This window comes from Homo sapiens, chromosome 8, assembly GCF_000001405.40.
Source record: "Homo sapiens chromosome 8, GRCh38.p14 Primary Assembly".
In the NCBI taxonomy this organism is placed as follows: Eukaryota; Metazoa; Chordata; class Mammalia; order Primates; family Hominidae; genus Homo; species Homo sapiens.
Genome location: NC_000008.11, coordinates 39262908 through 39280853, shown reverse-complemented (window position 1 = coordinate 39280853; position 17946 = coordinate 39262908). Strand labels below are relative to the sequence as shown.

The 17946-nt window shown below is 37.3% G+C and overlaps 1 protein-coding gene across 13 annotated transcripts in view; it reads right to left on the bottom strand.

The window, feature by feature from the left end:
* ADAM32 (ADAM metallopeptidase domain 32) overlaps nt 1–17946 on the bottom strand; it is a 177389-nt gene that overhangs the window by 4064 nt on the left and 155379 nt on the right. For 11 of the 13 annotated variants that reach the window (NM_001313994.1, NM_145004.7, XM_011544433.3 and 8 more), the window contains 3 exon segments: nt 4988–5026; nt 6504–6542; nt 9940–9978. The exons of 1 other annotated variant lie outside the window; for it this stretch is intronic. In NM_001313994.1, coding sequence (NP_001300923.1) covers nt 4988–5026; nt 6504–6542; nt 9940–9978 — 117 coding nt within the window. 13 annotated transcript variants of the gene reach the window in all.

The window sequence follows — 17946 nt, the reverse complement described above, 5'->3', positions numbered from 1 at the left end:
CCAAGATCACGCCACTGCACTCCAGCCTGGGAGACAGAGCAAGACTCCATCTCAAAAAAATAAAAATAAACATAAATAAAAATAAAAATAAATTAAAAACAATATCTGAAAGTTAACACTAAGAGCTTGCCTACTTTGAGAATGAAAAACAGGCCATTTTATAGCACCAAAACTAATTATTTAAATATGTGGGGCATGCAAATAAATAGCATTCTTTTTTACTCAAACACCAAATGCAACATATAGTACAAAATGTAAATTCTCTAGTAGAGAATCAAGAGTATCAAGATAGCAGAGGTTTTTCAAATTACTTCGAAGTTAATGTAAATTTAACTGTAAATGTCTAAACCTGTTCTTCAGCCTCCAAGTTAGTTTTGTATTTGTTAATATATAAATTGCAGCAGTTTGTAAATTAAAACTTACATTTACTTCTGACCAGTTTGGCAGACTGGACAAATAGTAAAACTTATCCTTTCTATTAGATACATAGAGAAAAGCTGAAGAAAACAAAAAACGTATGCATAACTAAGATTGACAGTCACAAAGGGTTTTCCTTCTACCATTTAAAAAAAAATAAATTAGAAGCTCAGAGGGAAAACAAGAGCTAAAGCTGAATTACTTATACCCTAAAAGATGTGGTTTTCATAACCCTAGCTTGGAAGGAGTTGAGGGCATGGATCTTTACGTGTTAGAAAGCTGCAATGGAGCAGTTTCCCAAGCCTGGTAGTCTTTAATGGAAATATTAAAAGCTATGACCACTGCACTTCAGAACACAACTAGCAAATTTTCTCAGGCAAGTGAAAAGAAAAGGATCATCTAGAGATGCAGAAATCACAGGCCTGCACCACGCAGTGCAGACCTCAGCTGCTCAGTTCCACTACTCGCAAATCTGAAAGAGCAAGCATGGAAAACATTACAACATTCATGCCCCAGGAGAGGCAAACCTGAAATACTCTCATCCTCCCAATGCATGCCTCTACAACTCAGGGCATGCAGAAGTCCCATGAGAACAATCACTGCCCTTGAGGGTGGGCTTATCAACCTAAATTGCAAAACAAAAATTCACACATCAAGATCAACAGATAATATAAAAATCTTCAAAATTGAAATATTTAGGATCTCCACACAAATCAAGGCAGGACTGAGGCAAAAAAAAATAGCTATTAAGAAAACGGAGGATTTGGAAACTGATATAAGGAAGTGAAACAATGTCAGATAGAGAGGTAGAAAGATGTAATACATGAAGAACCCAGTTAAGAAACATGGATGCTAGTCCGGGCATGGTGGCTCACGCCTGCAATCACAGTACTTTGGGAGGCCGAGGCGAGTGGATCACAAGGTCAGGAGTTCAAGAAGAGCCTGGCCAAGATGGTGAAACCCCGTCTCTACTAAAACTACAAAAATTAGCCAGGCGTGGTGGCAGGTGCCTGTAAGCCCAGCTACTTGGTAGGCTGAGGCAGAGAATTGCCTGAACCCAGGAGATGGAAGTTGCAGTGAGCTGAGCTCGCGCCACTGCATTCCAGCCTGGGCAACAGAGACTCCGCTTAAAAAAAATAAATAAAAGACGAAAGAAACATGAAGGCTAAAATGAGAAGACCCTCCTAAATATAATCATTTCCAGTGGAAAAAAGAGAAAGAATGAGAAAGAGTCAATAATTGAAGACATAATGACTGAATTAATTTTTTAGATTTAATGACCTGAGTCCTGATATCTAAAGACTATATTGAATCTAGAGCTGGATAAATAAAAACAAATTCTATCAGAACATATAATCATAAAATAACAAAACATTTGAGACAAAAAGGAAAACTTAGAAGCCACCTAGAAAAAGCACATTAATTGAGGGGGGAATAAATAATGATACTGACAACTAAGGTCTCATCAATGACAGTACATGGCACATTACAACAACAGAATATTACAAAACGCTTTCAGAAAAGTCCTTCTCAGCTAGGAGTAACCATTTAAGCTATCATTCAAAATTCAGTGTGGATAAAAAAAGCATGTTCAGGCATTTAACACAAATGTTGATAATACAGAATCACTAAACTGAAACTAAAAGGGTTGTAAAAAGGAAACTAAACCCATAATGAAAAATCAATGGATTCAACAATAAATAGTGAGAGCAAAGCAACTGATAAATACGTTTTAAGCTCTTAGCAGGTATTAATTTAATATAAAAATGATTATAATAATAGTAATAATAATAATAATAATGGAGGGTAGGGTTCTGTAGGTAAAAACCTGGAAGAAGCTAAAAGCCAAATGACAATAATATGGGAGAGTAATGTTAAGAGTTTGCTGATAAATTGTCAAAGATTCTTCTGTTGCTTAGGAAAAGACTGGAAATACTGAAAGAATTTAGACATTTAAAATAATTACACTAAAGTAGTACTAATGTGACCCATACTGGTGATGGGAACAGGTGGCAGAGAAATTCTAGGCAGAAAAGGGTGGGTCTCTGGCAAAAGCGCCACCCTCAAGCCGAAAAGCCGGAAACCACCATCCAAAGAGAGAATTTCTATCACTGTTTTCCTGCTCAACCTAAACCACCCATGGCCCTGCCCCTCCCCATTCTGTGCCTATAAAGACCCCAGACTCAGTTGGCAGAGACGAGAGGCAGCTGGACGTCAGGGACTATGGCTGGATGTCGGAGAGAAGGGGCTAGACTTCAGAGGGACAGCTTGATGGCATAACTTCAGAGAAGAGTCCAGCCCGAGGTGGCTGGACTTGAGGGGAAGATTTCCTGCCCATCCCCTTTTCAGCTCCCCTTCCCGCTGAAAGCCACTTTCATTATTCAATAAAATTCCTCACATTTATCATCTTTCAATTCATTCATGCAACCTCATTTTTCCTGGATGCCAGACAAGAGTTTGGGAGCCACAAGTGTGGATTCAAAAGGCTGTCACACTGTCCCTTCGCCCTCACTGGTGGAGATCAGCCGCCTCACTTGAAAAGGCAGAGGGCCTACTGAGCTGTTAATACTTAAGCTGTCCAAGCTAAAAGAGCACTGTAACACGCCCTCTGGGGTTTTCGGAGTCACAGGCACCCTGCCTGGATACCGCTGCAGGGCCTGCACAGAGTTCGCCCCTGCCGGCGCCCAAAAGTGCTGGCTGTGGCTCCTGCACCTGCTCACCTGCATGCTCCCTCCCGAGTGGTGGAGCGCAGTGGGTCCCAGTGAGTGGAGTTTGATCCCGCCCAGCCAGGGCTGAAATGGCCGGCTGGTTCCAGCGCTCCTGCACTCTAGCAGCTCCCACCTCGTTCACCCACGCGTTCCCTCCGATGAGGAGTCAGGAGGCTGAGTAAACGAGGCACCCCTGTCATGAGTCCCCTGAAGGGGTCAGGGAAATATCCTGCTTCACTGGAATTCATTCCATCTCTCTGCTTTCTTTGGCTTCAACTTCCCACCAGTTAAAGGTTACTCCAAAGATAAATGACATGAAAACTATGGTGGATGTTATATCACTAAAGCACAGCCACCATGTCAAATGATGTTACTAAAATTCAAATGAATAGTTATTCTAAAATGATTCCCTGGTGCACGGTAAGCCAGAAGGCTAGACCAGTGGTTTAACATTGCAAATTAAACGATGTCTATTGAAATGTACATTTTCCTATGGGTGATGCTATCACCCCTCACTGAATGGAGGTAAATAACCCTGGGAGAGATGAATTATGTTAACAGGGTTTCAGGGTGAGAGATGATATATTGAGCGAAGAAGAAATGGAGGAAGCGACAACATCATCATGGATATATGAATGTGTGTGCATGCATGCATGTGAACACATATATATATAGATTTGTCTATGTACCTTTGTGTTTCTGTTTTTGTTGGTTTGGTTGCCTCTGTGTGAAGATCAAAGGTAGTCATTCATTCATTCCTTCAACAAATATTTATTGATCACTTATAATATGAGCCGAGCACTCTGCTACATGCTAGCTATACAATGCTGAGCAAGATAGACATAGCCTTTATTATCTGAGATGACAGAATATAATAAGAGAAAAAGGTCACTGAGGCTCGCTGGGCCTGATCCCTATATGGTAACTCCCTTGCTCACAATAATAAGAACAGACATGATAATAAAAATCAAAATTTTAAAGATAAACTCATGACTCCAACGTGCCACTGTAAGGAAAAAAATAATGAGGCAGATTAAAAATGAGCAACGCAGGCATTCTTATTGAAGAGGTAAATTTCTTCTGGAACAAAAGAAATCATACAACCTTGTTGTGCAGCTTAGAGAGTTTGTCCTGTGGATTTGGATGTGTTTGGGAACAGCAGTGGGCTTGGAGCAACCTAGAAAGAATAACACTAGCCCCCTATAAATGTATATAAAAACTGTAACTCAGAGAGGGAGCAGTAAAAACTTCAAAGCATTTTATATCTGCAGAAGGACCTAAAACCCACAATTGCTGAGTGTGAGGAACTAGATACTTACTGAGTTATTATAAAAAGACATCCACCTTTCAGGAAATGGACAGGGACCTAGTAATACTGAGAACAATGAAAGATGTGGAATTTTTGTTCCTTTGTGATGCTTTTTTTTTTTTCAACAAATTCTTCCCAGGTGATCTATGCGAGCATTCACTCAGTTATTCATCAGCATACATATTAGTTTCTAGTTGTGCCATCTCCAAATAAAAAAGTAAACTTCCCCTTGGTGTACTCCAAGAAAAAGAATACAAAAAGATCCTTTTTATGAATTAGCTCCTTAAACATTTCACCAAAAATGTTTTCCTTTGTTTCCCAAAAATAAACTCCCAACACATATTAACTAAACTGCAGGAAAGAAGATATTGTCTTATTTAGACAAATACTCGCAAGTTACTAGATCAGCAAATAGGTTGTTTTAAGGTACAGTACTTTACTAATTGTGGCTACTCAGTTAATAGTTAGCAAGTAATTGTTAATTATCAATTTGTTCATCTCAATTTTTAACATATACTTATTATATAAAAAAAATGCCCCCTAATTCACTTACTTGCTAGTATCAGCTTGACTGCTGCTTTCTGATCTGGTTCTAAAAGAAAGCGAAAAAGTAATGCTTCCACGTTAATACTTAACACAAATGTGCCTCCATAATGAATGAATGTCGGATCATTTTACAACCTGTGTTAATTCTTCTCTACCAAGAATCACCACTGAAGAATAATTTCAAAAGACTACTAAATTAGCATATGCAAACAAGTTTTTATTTATTCATATACAATGTCCATAAAAAGTTTAAATTTCAAATATTCAACTAAGCAGAGGAACAAGAAAACTGATTTGTTTTTCTCCTTTCACTTTCTAGCACAGAATACATGCTTTATTTTAAATGCCTGATTCTGGCCTTCAGAGTCTATCCGTTGATAAATACATTGCTGTAGGTTGTGATTCAAAATCCACACTAATGTCAAGAAGACTGAACTGATGGGGAGGTGTGGTAATTTCCCCTCCTATACCACACACAGAGAAATAGTGCAAAACAACACATACTATTTACTAAAACTTTATGAAAGAAAAGGCCATTTCTAGTGATAGTAACAGAGAGAGAGAGAATTGAAAATGCGAAAGGTAAATACAAACTAAATCTGAATGACTTTGGGGGTACACAAGTCAGTTTCATAAGCCACATCAGCTTATCAAGAGTTGAGACTTCCTAGAAAGATGAAGCTGACCTCCTTCTCTAAACCTGGAAGCCCTGAAAGGCTGTACCACCCATGAAATGGGGATAGTAAAAGCTGTGGCCACTAGACACAGAGATGCATCAGGGAAATTGCTTCAGAAGTAGAGATGAAAAATGAACACCAGGAGGCACGGGAACCCGGAGCACTTAAATTGGCTTAGGAATTTGGATGGAAAAATCATCACACAGAGAAACAGGAGCCTTAATTCTTTACACGTATAGGATAAGGACACCACTCCATGCTTCCCATGAACTCCAGTGTAACAGTTAATGTAAAAATTTATCACACAGGAGGGTAAAACATGACCTCCACAAGGAGTCTTCTGCAAAGCACAGTAGGTTTGTTTACACCAGCATCACCACAAACAAGTGAGTAATGCATTGCTCTCTGATGTTGTGATGGCTACAACATCACTAGGCTGTAGGAATTTTCACCTTCATTATAATCTTATGGAACCACCATCATACATGTGGTTTCTCATTTACCAAAACATTGTTATGAAGCACATGGCTCTCTCTGTAACACCAGCTGGGTAACTTCTAGGCCCTATACATTCTTTTTCTTTACTAATTATACATGTCCTATCTCATTTTAGAATCAGCTATTTTATTCCTTGTTTCCTCAAAAGAGACCTCCAGTAAACATTTATTAAATAAAGAAATGACTAATTTATTAGAAACTAAATTCAACTGTATATTAGCAGTCTGGATTTTAGTGCATTGCTTTACCAATTGACATTGTTCAAAAATATTTAGAAATAAATTGTGAATTATCAATAAATTCTTAATTTTCAACATGTATCTTAAAAACCTCTTCTAACCTACTTACTGGCTGGCATATGTCTGAGTGCTGCCTTCTGAGCTGGATCTAAAAAAAAATTGAAAGCAATGTCTCAAGTTAGTACTAAGAAAACTTGCCAACTTCATGAATGAAAATCAGGCCATTTTATAATTAGTATTATCTCTTTAAAAGACTAATTACTAATAAATAAAATGATGTCCAAAGGTCACTGAACATAGATGCAAATAAATAACATTTTCATCTACCCATATACCTCATCCACAAGAAGGGCACATTTCAAATCCTGCAATGAGGAGAGTATCCAAAAAACACAGATTTGCTTTTTCTGAACATAGAATATAGATCCGTTCAGAAAAAAACACAGATTAGCTATTTCTAAACATAGAACATAGGTTTGACTTTGCATGATTCTCACCTTCATACCCCAACTTTTGGCTTTTTATTTATTGTTTAAAAAAAGACAGTATTTTGTAAATTAAAACCTATACTGCCTCCTAAGCAATCTAGCAGAGTGAGCTGGCAAAACAATTTTCCCTTTCCATTCCTCGCATAGAGGAGTGCTGAAAAAAAAAAATCACACACACAAACATTTGATACACAACTGAAGCTCACAGCAAGGAAAGACTTCTCCTATTGCCAATAAAAACGATAAAACTGAGAGCTCACAGGTTAAACAGGAGCTGAGGCTGAATAACTTCAGAAGCATCTAAACCTACAGTGCTGCCAGTCATATGAAAGTACATCACATACAATTATGTACAGTACAAAATACATGATAATGATAATAATAACTGGTTTTGGTTTATGTGTTTACTATCCTATCCTTTTGTTTGTTTGTTTGTTTGTTTTTTGAGGTGGAGTCTTGCTCTGTCTCCCAGGCTGGAGTGCAATGTCGAGATCTTGTCTCACTGCAACCTCTGCATCCTGGGCTCAAGCGATTCTCCTGCCTCACCCTCCTGAGTAGCTGGGATTACAGGCATGTGCCACCACGCCTGGCTAATTTTATTTATTTATTTATTTATTTTTGTATTTTTAGTAGAGACGGGGTTTCACCATGTTGGCTAGGCTAGTTTCGAACTCCTGACCTCAGGTGATCCGCCCGCCTCAGCCTCTCAAAGTGCTGGGATTACAGGAGTGAGCCACCGCGCCAGGCCTATACTGTCCTTTTTATCATTATTTTAGAGCGTACTCCTTTTGCTTATTTAAAGAAAAAAAATTAACTGTAAAACAACTTCAAGCAGGTCCTTCAAGACGAATCCAGAAGGTGGCATTGTTATCCTGGCCAATGACAGCTCCAGGTATGTCATTGATTCTGAAGACCTCCCAGCAGGACAAGATGTGGAGATGGAAGACAGTGATATTGGCTGTCTTGACCCTGCATAGACCAAGGCTAATGTGTTTCTGTCTTAGTTTTTACCAAAAATTTTAAAAAGAAAAAAAAATTAAGACAAAAAAGCCGATAAAGATATAAAGAATTTGTACAATGTGTTTGTTTTTGAGCTAAATGTTATTACAAGAGTCAAAAAGTTTTATAAAATTAAAAAGTGTATCAATTTTAAAAGTTATAGTAAAACGTAAGGTTAATATATTATTGAAGAAATAAATTTTTAAGTAAATTTAGTGTAGCCTAAGTGCACAGTGTTTATACAGTTTATAGTAGGACTCAGTAATGCCCTAGGCCTGCACATTCACTCACCACTCACTCACTGACTCACCCGGAGCAACTTCCAGTCCTGCAAGTTCCATTCATTGTAAGTGCCCTATACAGACATATCATTTTTTATCTTTTATATTATTTTTACAGTAGCTTTTCTATGTTTCAATACATACTTAATCAGTTACAGTTGCTTACAGTATTCCATACCATAAGATGCTGTACAGGCTTATATATATAAGGTTATAGGATATAACCTAGGTACATAATAGGCTATACAATCTAGGTTTTTTTAAGTACACTCTGTGATGTTCGCACAATAACACAATCACCTAACGGTGCATTTCTCAGAATGTATCTTTGTGTTAAGCGACTCATGACTGAATTAGTGTACTGCTTGGGTAAACAAACAAATGGATGGAATTTTATAGATTGTGACAGAAGTCATGAATCTAGATGTATAAATTTCTACAATAATTATGGGTTGAGGAGAGCTAATTACATTGACCTAATTGTTCTGTTCTTTTAATCATCAATAAATTGCATTTTGTCCCTATTCATCCTACTTATGTTTCTTTTATTTCTTTTGCTTTCTTTCTTTCTTTTTTTTTTTTTTTTTTTTCTGGAGCTCACTGGCGATCATGGCTCACTGCAGTCTTGAACTCCTAAGCTAAATGAATCCTCCCACCTCAGCCTCCCAAGTAGCTGAGACCACAGGCTCATGCCACCATGCCTGGCTATTTTTTTAATTTTTAATTTTTCAGGTGCTCCTCACACCTCAGCCTCCTAAAGTGCTGGGATTACAGGCATGACCCAACACACACAGCCCCTATTCATATTTTTTAACCATAACTTCAGTTCTCACTATTTTCTAACAGTCTGTGAAGTGGACTCCATATTCTCTTTCAGTGTCAAGACACTTAACTACCCATTTTCAATTTTGTAAAAGTCCAAGACCTTATTTCTTCAAATATTGACTCTTCCCCACTCTAAATTTTCTGTCTCTGAATTCTTTTGTTTCTTAACTGGTCTTTTATATGTTATTATTCTGTTTATGTTGTATTCTCAGTGATTTCCCTAAACAATTTAAAAATAAAATCTTTTTTCAGCTCCTTTATTTCTTGTTTAATGGATTATATTTGTTTTTTAACTTCTATGCGGATCCTAAGCATTTTTTTTTTTTTGAGGTTTTTCAATTACCTGTATTTCTTTAGATTGCTTTGGCTGTTGGCATCACCACCTTTAGTGGCTTTTTTTTTTTTTGTAAGGTTAAGTAGCATTGATTGTCTCATGAGAATTCTGCATATTTTGCTTTGTGCAGTAGGTTTGCTTACACCAGCATCACCACAAACCAGTGAGTAATGCATTGCTCTCTGATGTTGTGATGGCTACAACATCACTAGGCTACAGGAATTTTTCACCTTCATTATAATCTTATGGAACCACCATCATACATGTGGTTTATCATTTACCAAAACATTATTATACAGCACGTGCCTCTATAACACAAGCTGGGTAACTTCTAGGCCCTATACATTCTTTTTCTTTACTAATTATACATGTCCTATCTCATTTTAGAATCAGCTATTTTATTCCTTGTTTCCTCAGAAGAGACTTCCAGTAAACATTTATTAAATGAAGAAAGGACTAATTTATTAGAAACTAAATTAGACTATATATTAGCAGTCTGGATTTCAGTGCATTGCTTTACCAATTGATGTTCAAAAAAAAATTGGAAATAAATTGTGAATTATCAATTAACTCTTAATTTTCAACATGTATCTTAAAAACACCTTCTAAACTACTTACTGGCTGGCATATGTCTGTGTGCTACCTTCCGATTTAGATCTAAAAAGAAATTGAAAATGTCTCATGTTAGTACTTAGAAAACTTGCCAACTTCATGAATTAAAATCAGTCCATTTTATAATCAGTATTATCTCCTTATAAGACTAATTATTAAAAAATAAAATATTGTCCAAAGGTCAATGAACACAGATGCAAATAAATAACATTTTTATTTACCCATATACCTCATCCATAAGAAGGGCACATTTCAAATCCTGCAATGAGGAGAGTATCAAAAACACCCAAATTTGCTTTTTCTGATCCCTTCTAAACACAGAATCTAGATTTGACCTTGAATGTCTGATTCTGACCTTCATAATCCAACTTTTGGTTTTTTATTCATTTTTAAAGAAAAGACTAACTCTGAGGCCAGAGATTTAGTAGCACTGCCTTAGAAGGAGCTGAAGCCTCAGGCCTTCGGATGCAGAGATGCTATAAGTGAACTCTTTAACTAAACCAGGAGCCAGAAGGAGCCATCTCACCCATGAAACAGGAATAATAAAATTTCTGACCAGTGGCTTTTGGAATGCAAGAGGGAAATATGCATAAATAGAGAGAAAAATGCATCAAGAAGAGAAGTAGGACTCCCAAGTGTCATAAAAGTGCAGTTTCAGGACCCCAGTTCACACTCCCACAAATTCTTGAACACCATGCATGGCAAATTTTTAAAAATATTTTTTCTTTAAGAAAGGAAAAATTAAACAACTGGTATGGTTAGGCTTCGTGTCCCCACCCAAATCTCATCTTAAATTGTAATCCCCATAATCCCCATGTGTCAAGAGAAAGACCAGGTGGAAGTAATTGAATCACGGTAGTGGTTTCCCCCATGCCTTTCTCGTGATAGTGAATGAGTTCTCATGAGATCTGACGGTTTTATAAGAGGTTCTTGCCCCTCCGCTCAGCACTTCTCCCTCCTGCTGCCTTGTGAAGAAGGTGCCTTGCTTCCCCTTCGCCTTCTGCCATGATTGCAGGTTTCCTGAGGCCTTCCCAGCCATGCTGTGAGTCAATTAAACCTCTTTCCTTTATAAATTACCCAGTCTTGGGCAGTTCTGTATAGCACTATGAAAATGGACTAATACAACAACTTACATATATGTCTCTATAACACAGCACACACAGAATTCTCATGGGAAACATCAAAGACACTGAAGATAAAAGAGTCTACCATTACAAATCACTAAGAGTTAATGTCAACACTACACTAAAACATGAATTCACGCAGCAAGAGCTACAAATGATTTGCTTTAAAAACGCTTTAATCTGAGAATATTTAGACTCCTCACAGAGATCTTTGCAGGAATAGAATCCATAAGTCTAAAACAGGACAGAGAGGAAAGAAAAATTAGAGAAATGAAAGAGTAAACTAAGAAAATTAATCAGAATGTGAGATGCAGAGATTAAAAATATGTGAAAGTTGCAAATACTAAAAGCATACTTCTAATTCTGGCCAAGATGGGGTAAGACTAAATTTACCCTCCTGCCAGAATGTCTAAAAATACAGACAAAATGTATAAAACAATTGATTTCACACATTGGCTACTAGACAGTGCAGTACAGCGAACTTTGAGAGAAGGAAACAAGGTGAGCTCTATGATTGACTCTTCTTACTGCCTAGAGAGAGTTTTCAGGCTGTAATGCAATGAGGGAAACTGAGGCAAATCCCAGTAGTCTCTCTGAGTTGAGGTGATAGAATTGGGGGCCTAGGAAGGGCAAGGCAGCTAGGGTTCACAGGGCAGAACACCACAGAAAAAAAGAAAATGCTTAGAAGGAATCCTGAGATTGGGGGAAGACCCCCTCCCTCGCCTCTTGCATCTTCTGCAGAGTACTGATAAATGCTTGCCAGTGAGGGAACTGCCTGAGCCAGAGTAAAACCATTTATCCAAAATGAACAAAGGGAATAATTTCTTGTGCTCACAGAAGGACAGGAATAGTTTGAGTTCCACCTGAGTTGAATATATGGTAATTCAGAGTAAGATGGATAGAGTTACTCAGAATGGTACTGTCTTTTTATGGGTGACTATTCTGATCCTACTTAACAAAGTTTAAAATCAATGGTGTAAGAATAATTAAAAATTTTTGTACAAAATATACTATTTCCATACTTCTTAACATATACAAAAATTCAAATTAGATATAGATCTAAAGGCAAAACCTAAAACTTTGAAACTTTTAGAAGAAATCATAGGAGAAAATCTGTGAACTTGGGTTAGGCAATTATTTCTTAGCTACAGCACCAAAATTATGATCTATAAAAAAAGAAATTGATACACTGGTTTTATTAAACATTTAAAACATTTGCTCTAAAGATTGCTAAAAGTATTAGAAGACAAGCCTTAGACTGAGATAACATGTTTGCAAATTACATATATAATGATGGACTTATATTCAGAACACTCGAAATACAACAAACCCATTTCAAAAGTGATCAAAAGATTTGAAAAATATGATAAAAAGGAAAATAACCCATAATTTGAATAGACATTTCTCCAGAGAAGGTATACAGATGGCAAATAACCATATGAAACAATTGTCAACATGATTAACCATTAGAGAAATTCAAATTATAATGAGATACCACTACACAATATCAGAATTGGTAAAGTTAAAAAAAATGAGACCACATATTGACAAGAATGTGGAGAAACTACAACTCTCATACACTAGTGGCTGGAATACAAGATGACAAAACCACTTTGGAAAACATAGCTCTTTCTTTAGAATTTAAACATACACTTACTTTATTACCCAATTATTCTATTCCTGGGTATTAACCAAGAGAAGGAAAGCATATATTCACATAGAGACTTGTACCTGAATGTTCATGTTAAATACAGTAAGAAATTCTTCTTCAAAGATTTAGTTTGCTTAAGTTTGCTTGTCCTTTGTACCCTGCTTTCAAGGCCAGACTTCTTTACTCACTGTGTCCGCCTGCCCTGGTAAACAACCTTCCTGCCAGTCTTTATCTATAGAGCCCACATTCCACATCTGCTAACCACTCTGTAAATTACCTTTCCCATTGCAATGGCTACTCCTGCCGAAACTGATCTTCCCACCTTCCCACCAGTGTAACCGCATTCCTGCACTTTTCAAGTTAGCCAACCGGGTTCAGCTTAGATTGTGCAGTCCAACTCCAGCCAATGGAGGCATGACACAGTAGCAGGGACAAGCTGTGTTAGAAATAAAAACCCCTGCTTTCCTCTGTTTGGGGTGCTCTCATGGCAACCAGAACTATGAGAAGCACCCTTCTGCAGAAGTAAATTTGCCTTGCTGAGAGATCCTTTGTCTCAGTGCTGGTTCTTCTTTGCGGCACTGAGCATTTGTTTCCAGCGGTTCACAACAGCTTCATTTATAACACCTATAAACTGGAAATAACCCAAATATTCATCAACAGATAAATAGATTTAAAAAAATTAAGGTATATTCATACAGCTGAGTAGTTCTCAGCAATAAAAAGGAACAAACTATTGACACACACAAAAGCATGTATAAATATCAAAATAATTATGGTGATGTAAATAATCCAGACAAAGTACATACAATCATATGATCTCATTTATATAAAATTCTAGAAAAGGAACTGTAAACTGTAGTGACAGAAGCAGATTAGTAGTAGTCTGGGATACCAGCCTGCAGCCTTTCCCCACCAGCACAGCCTCTCTCCACCCCCTCACCAGTACGCATGGGCACACAGAACCCTCACCACCCTGCCAGCATGCACAAATGGGGGAACCCCCACCTACCCTGCCTGCACGCACATATACATGGACCCACCACTGGCCCACCCCAGTGCTTTTGCTGGCAGCCCCCATTGGAGGGTTGTTGCCAGCAGACTGGGAATACCTTGGCCTCTCCAGTGCAACAGGGGTTTAACCTTAAGGGGACAGAGAACAAAGAAACAGGCCAGGTCCCAACCCCCCAGGGATAGAGCACATACCCCAGGAATGCTAATTTGAGCCTTGGCCCCCTGAAAGCATCCAGAAATGAAGCCAATTGCCTAAGCCTAACTTATACCACAGTGAAACCCTTAAGGTATCAGAGAATGTAAAAGCAGAAAGCTCCATACAAAAGACAGCAATTTCAAAGATTAAGGGAACATCAGCCCACACAAATGAGAAAGAACCAATGCAAGAACTCTGACAACTCAAAAAGACACAGTGTCTTTTTAACACCAAACAACCACAATAGCTCTCCAGCTATTGTTCTTAACCAGACTGAAATGGCTATAATGACAGACATATAATACTAATTCTGGATAGCAAGGAAGCTCATCGACATACAGAAGGTCGAAACTCAAGCCAAGGAACACAGCAACATGGTCGAAGAGTTAAAAGATGGCATAGCCATTTTAAGAGAAAAATAAACTGAACTTCTGGGAATGAGAAATTCACTACAGGAATTTCATAAAGCAACTGAAAGCATTATAACAGAATAGACCATGCTGAGGAAAGAATCTCAGAGCTTGAAGACCATTTCTTTGAAACAACACAGGCAGACTAGAAAAAAGAAAAAATAATTTTTTAAATGAACAAAATATCAGAGCAATATGTGATTACGTAGAGACCAAACCTGGGACTCGCTGGCATTCCTGAAACAGATGAAGAGAAAGCAAGCAAATTGGAAAACATATTGGAGAATACTTCCACAAAAATTTTCCCAACCTCACTAGAGATGTTGACATGCAAATTCAGGATATTCAGGGAACCTCTGTGAGATACCATACAAGATGACCATCCCCAAGACACATAGTCATCAGATTCTCCAAAGGCAATGTGAAAGAATAAATCTTAAAGGCAGCTTGGGAGAAGGGGCAAGTCACCTACAAAGGGAACCCCAACAGGCTAGCAGCAGAATTTTCTGCAGAAACCTTACAAGTCTGAAGAGATTGGGGACCTATATTCAGCATCCTTAAAGAAAGGAAATTTCAACCAAAAACTGTATATCCAGCCAAACTAAGCTTCATAAGCAGAGGAAAAATAAAATATTTTTCAAACAAGTCAATGCTAAGGGAATTTGCTACCACCACACCTACCTTATAACAGGTCCTTAAGGGAAAGCAAAACATGGAAAGGGAAGATCATTACCTGCCACCACAAAATCATACTTACATGCGTAGCCCCCCAACACTATTAAGCAAATATCTAATCAAATCTATATAACAACCAGCTACCTGCCACCACAAAATCATACTTACATGCTTAGCCCTGACACTATAAAGCAAATATATAATCAAATCTACTTAATAACCAGCTACCTGCCACCACAAATTATACTTACACGCATAGCCCCCTGACACTATAAAGCAAATATATAATCAAATCTACATAACAACCAGCTAACACATGATGACAGGATCAAATCTGCACATAACAATATTAACGTTGAATGTAAATGGGATAAATGCCCCACTTAAAGACACAGAGTGGCAAAGTGTATAAAGAAGCAAGATCCAACTACATGCTGTCTTCAAAAGACCATCTCACCTGCAATGACACCCATAAGCTCAAAGTAAAGGGAAGGAGAAAGATCCATCAAGCAAACAAAGTATAAAAAAGAGCAGAAGTTGCTTTCTTATTTAAGATAAAACAAACTTTAAACCAAAAACAATAAAAAAGGACAAAGAAGAGCATTACATAATGATAAAGGGTTCAATTCAACAAGAAGACTTAATGATCCTAAATATATATGGGCCCAACAGTGTAACACCTGGATTCATAAAACAAGTTCCTAGAGACCTACGAAGAGATGTTGAGAACCACACAATAATAGTGTGGGAGACTATTTCAGTGGGAGACTTCAACACCCCCTGAAAGTGTTATGCAGATCATTGAGGCAGAAAACTAACAAAGGTATTTGGGACTTAACGCGGCACTTGACCAAGTAGACCTAACAGACATCTACAAAATACTCCACCCAACAACACCACAATGTAAATTCTTCACATCAGCACATACCAATCATACCAATCACACTCTCAGACCACAGTGCAATAAAAACAGAAATCAATGCCAAGAAATTTCAAAACCATACAATCACGTAGAAATTAAACAACCTGCTCCTGAATGACTTTTTGGTAAATAACGAAATTAAGGCAGAAATAAAAAAATTATTTGAAACTAATATAAACAAACATATAACATAACAGAAACTCTGGGACACAGCTAAAGTAGTGTTAAGAGGAAAGTTTATAGTGCTAAATGCATACATCAAAAAGTTAGAAAGATCTCAGGTTAACAACCTAACATCGCACCTAGAAGACCTAGAAAAACAAGAGCAAACCAACCCCAAAGCTAGAAGAAAATAAATAGCAAAATCCAAACTGAACTGAATGAAATTGAGACACAATAATCCAGGAAAAAGATCAATAAAACCGAAAGTTTCTTTTTTAAGGAACAAATAAGATTGATAGACCACTAGCTAGATTAATTTAAAAAGAGATGATCCAAATAACCACACTAAGAAATGACCAAAGTGACATTACCTCTGACCCCACAGAAATTTTTAAAAATCTTCAGAAACTATTACAAACACCTCTATACACACAAACTAGAAAACCTAGAAGAAATAGATGAATACCTAGAAACACACAACCTACCATGATTGAACCATGAAGAAACTGAAACCTTACACAGATCAGTTACAAGTATTATGCTCACTACCTGGGGGATGAAATCATTTATATACCAAACCCCAGTGACACACAATTTAACCCTGTAACAAACATGAACATGTACCCCCTGAACCTAAATTAAAATTTGAAAAAGAAAAACAAAGTGGTAATCTGGGGATAGACAGGAAATGGGAGGGAAAGGCTAAGGAAGGGAATTACAAAGGGAAATAAGAAATTTCTTGAGGGTTACAGATACCTTTATCATCTTGATTATGTCGATGGTTTAATGGGTGTTACTTTTCAAATTATCAAAACATCAAATTATACACTGAAAATATGTGTAAATTATTGTATATCAACTATATATCAATAAAACAATAGATTTAAAAGAGAGCAAACTATTGATACACATAATAACATGGATGGATTTCAAATATATTAGCTATGGTATAGAAACCAGACTGGAAAGACTGCATAATGTATTAATCCATTTATACAAAGTTCTGATGGGCAAAACTGTAGGCACAGAAAACAGATCCACCAGTGCCCAGAGCTCGAGTGGGGTGAGACAAAATTTTCTGGATGACAGAACTGCTCTACATTTTATTGAGCTAGTGGTATGTGTATATATTTGCTAAACTCATAACACTGCACACACTAAAAAATAATGAATTTCAGGATATGTAAATTATATCCCAGTTTTTAAAAGCCCTATTCCAATCGCAAAAGAAAAACAATGAAAAGGAAGAAAAGAAGATGAAGAAAAAGGAGGAAATAGAGAACAACCACCACCACAACCATGGAGGCTAGAATGGGGACACTAAAGTACAGGAAGTTCAGAAGGAGAAAAAGAGGCAGAATGGAGAAGTCAATTATTGCAGAGATAAGGGCTGAAAATTTTCATAACTTATAGAAAAATAAAGTTTAAGTATAAAGATAAAAAATGAATTGATTAGACTGATAGCAGACATCCCATAAACAGTGCATGCTAAAATTCAAAGGCATATCCTTAAAAGCCTTACAAAAATAACTGTTCACCTAAAGTTCCATACCCATATAACCTATAATTAATATTGAACATAAAGCAAAAAAATTCAGTAATAACCATCAAACAGATTATTACATGTAGAACATCACTGTAATGTACTTCCTCCAGAATAAAATGGAACCTACAGCAAATATATGCAAACTGAATAAATAGAAGAAATGGGTAAATTCCAAGAAAGATACAACATATCAGGACTGAATCGTAAACAGAACACCTCACCAAGCCTGGTGCCTCACACATAATCCCAGCACTTTGCAAAGCCAAGGTGGGCAGATCACTTGAGGCCAGGAGTTTGAGACCAGCCTGGCCAACAT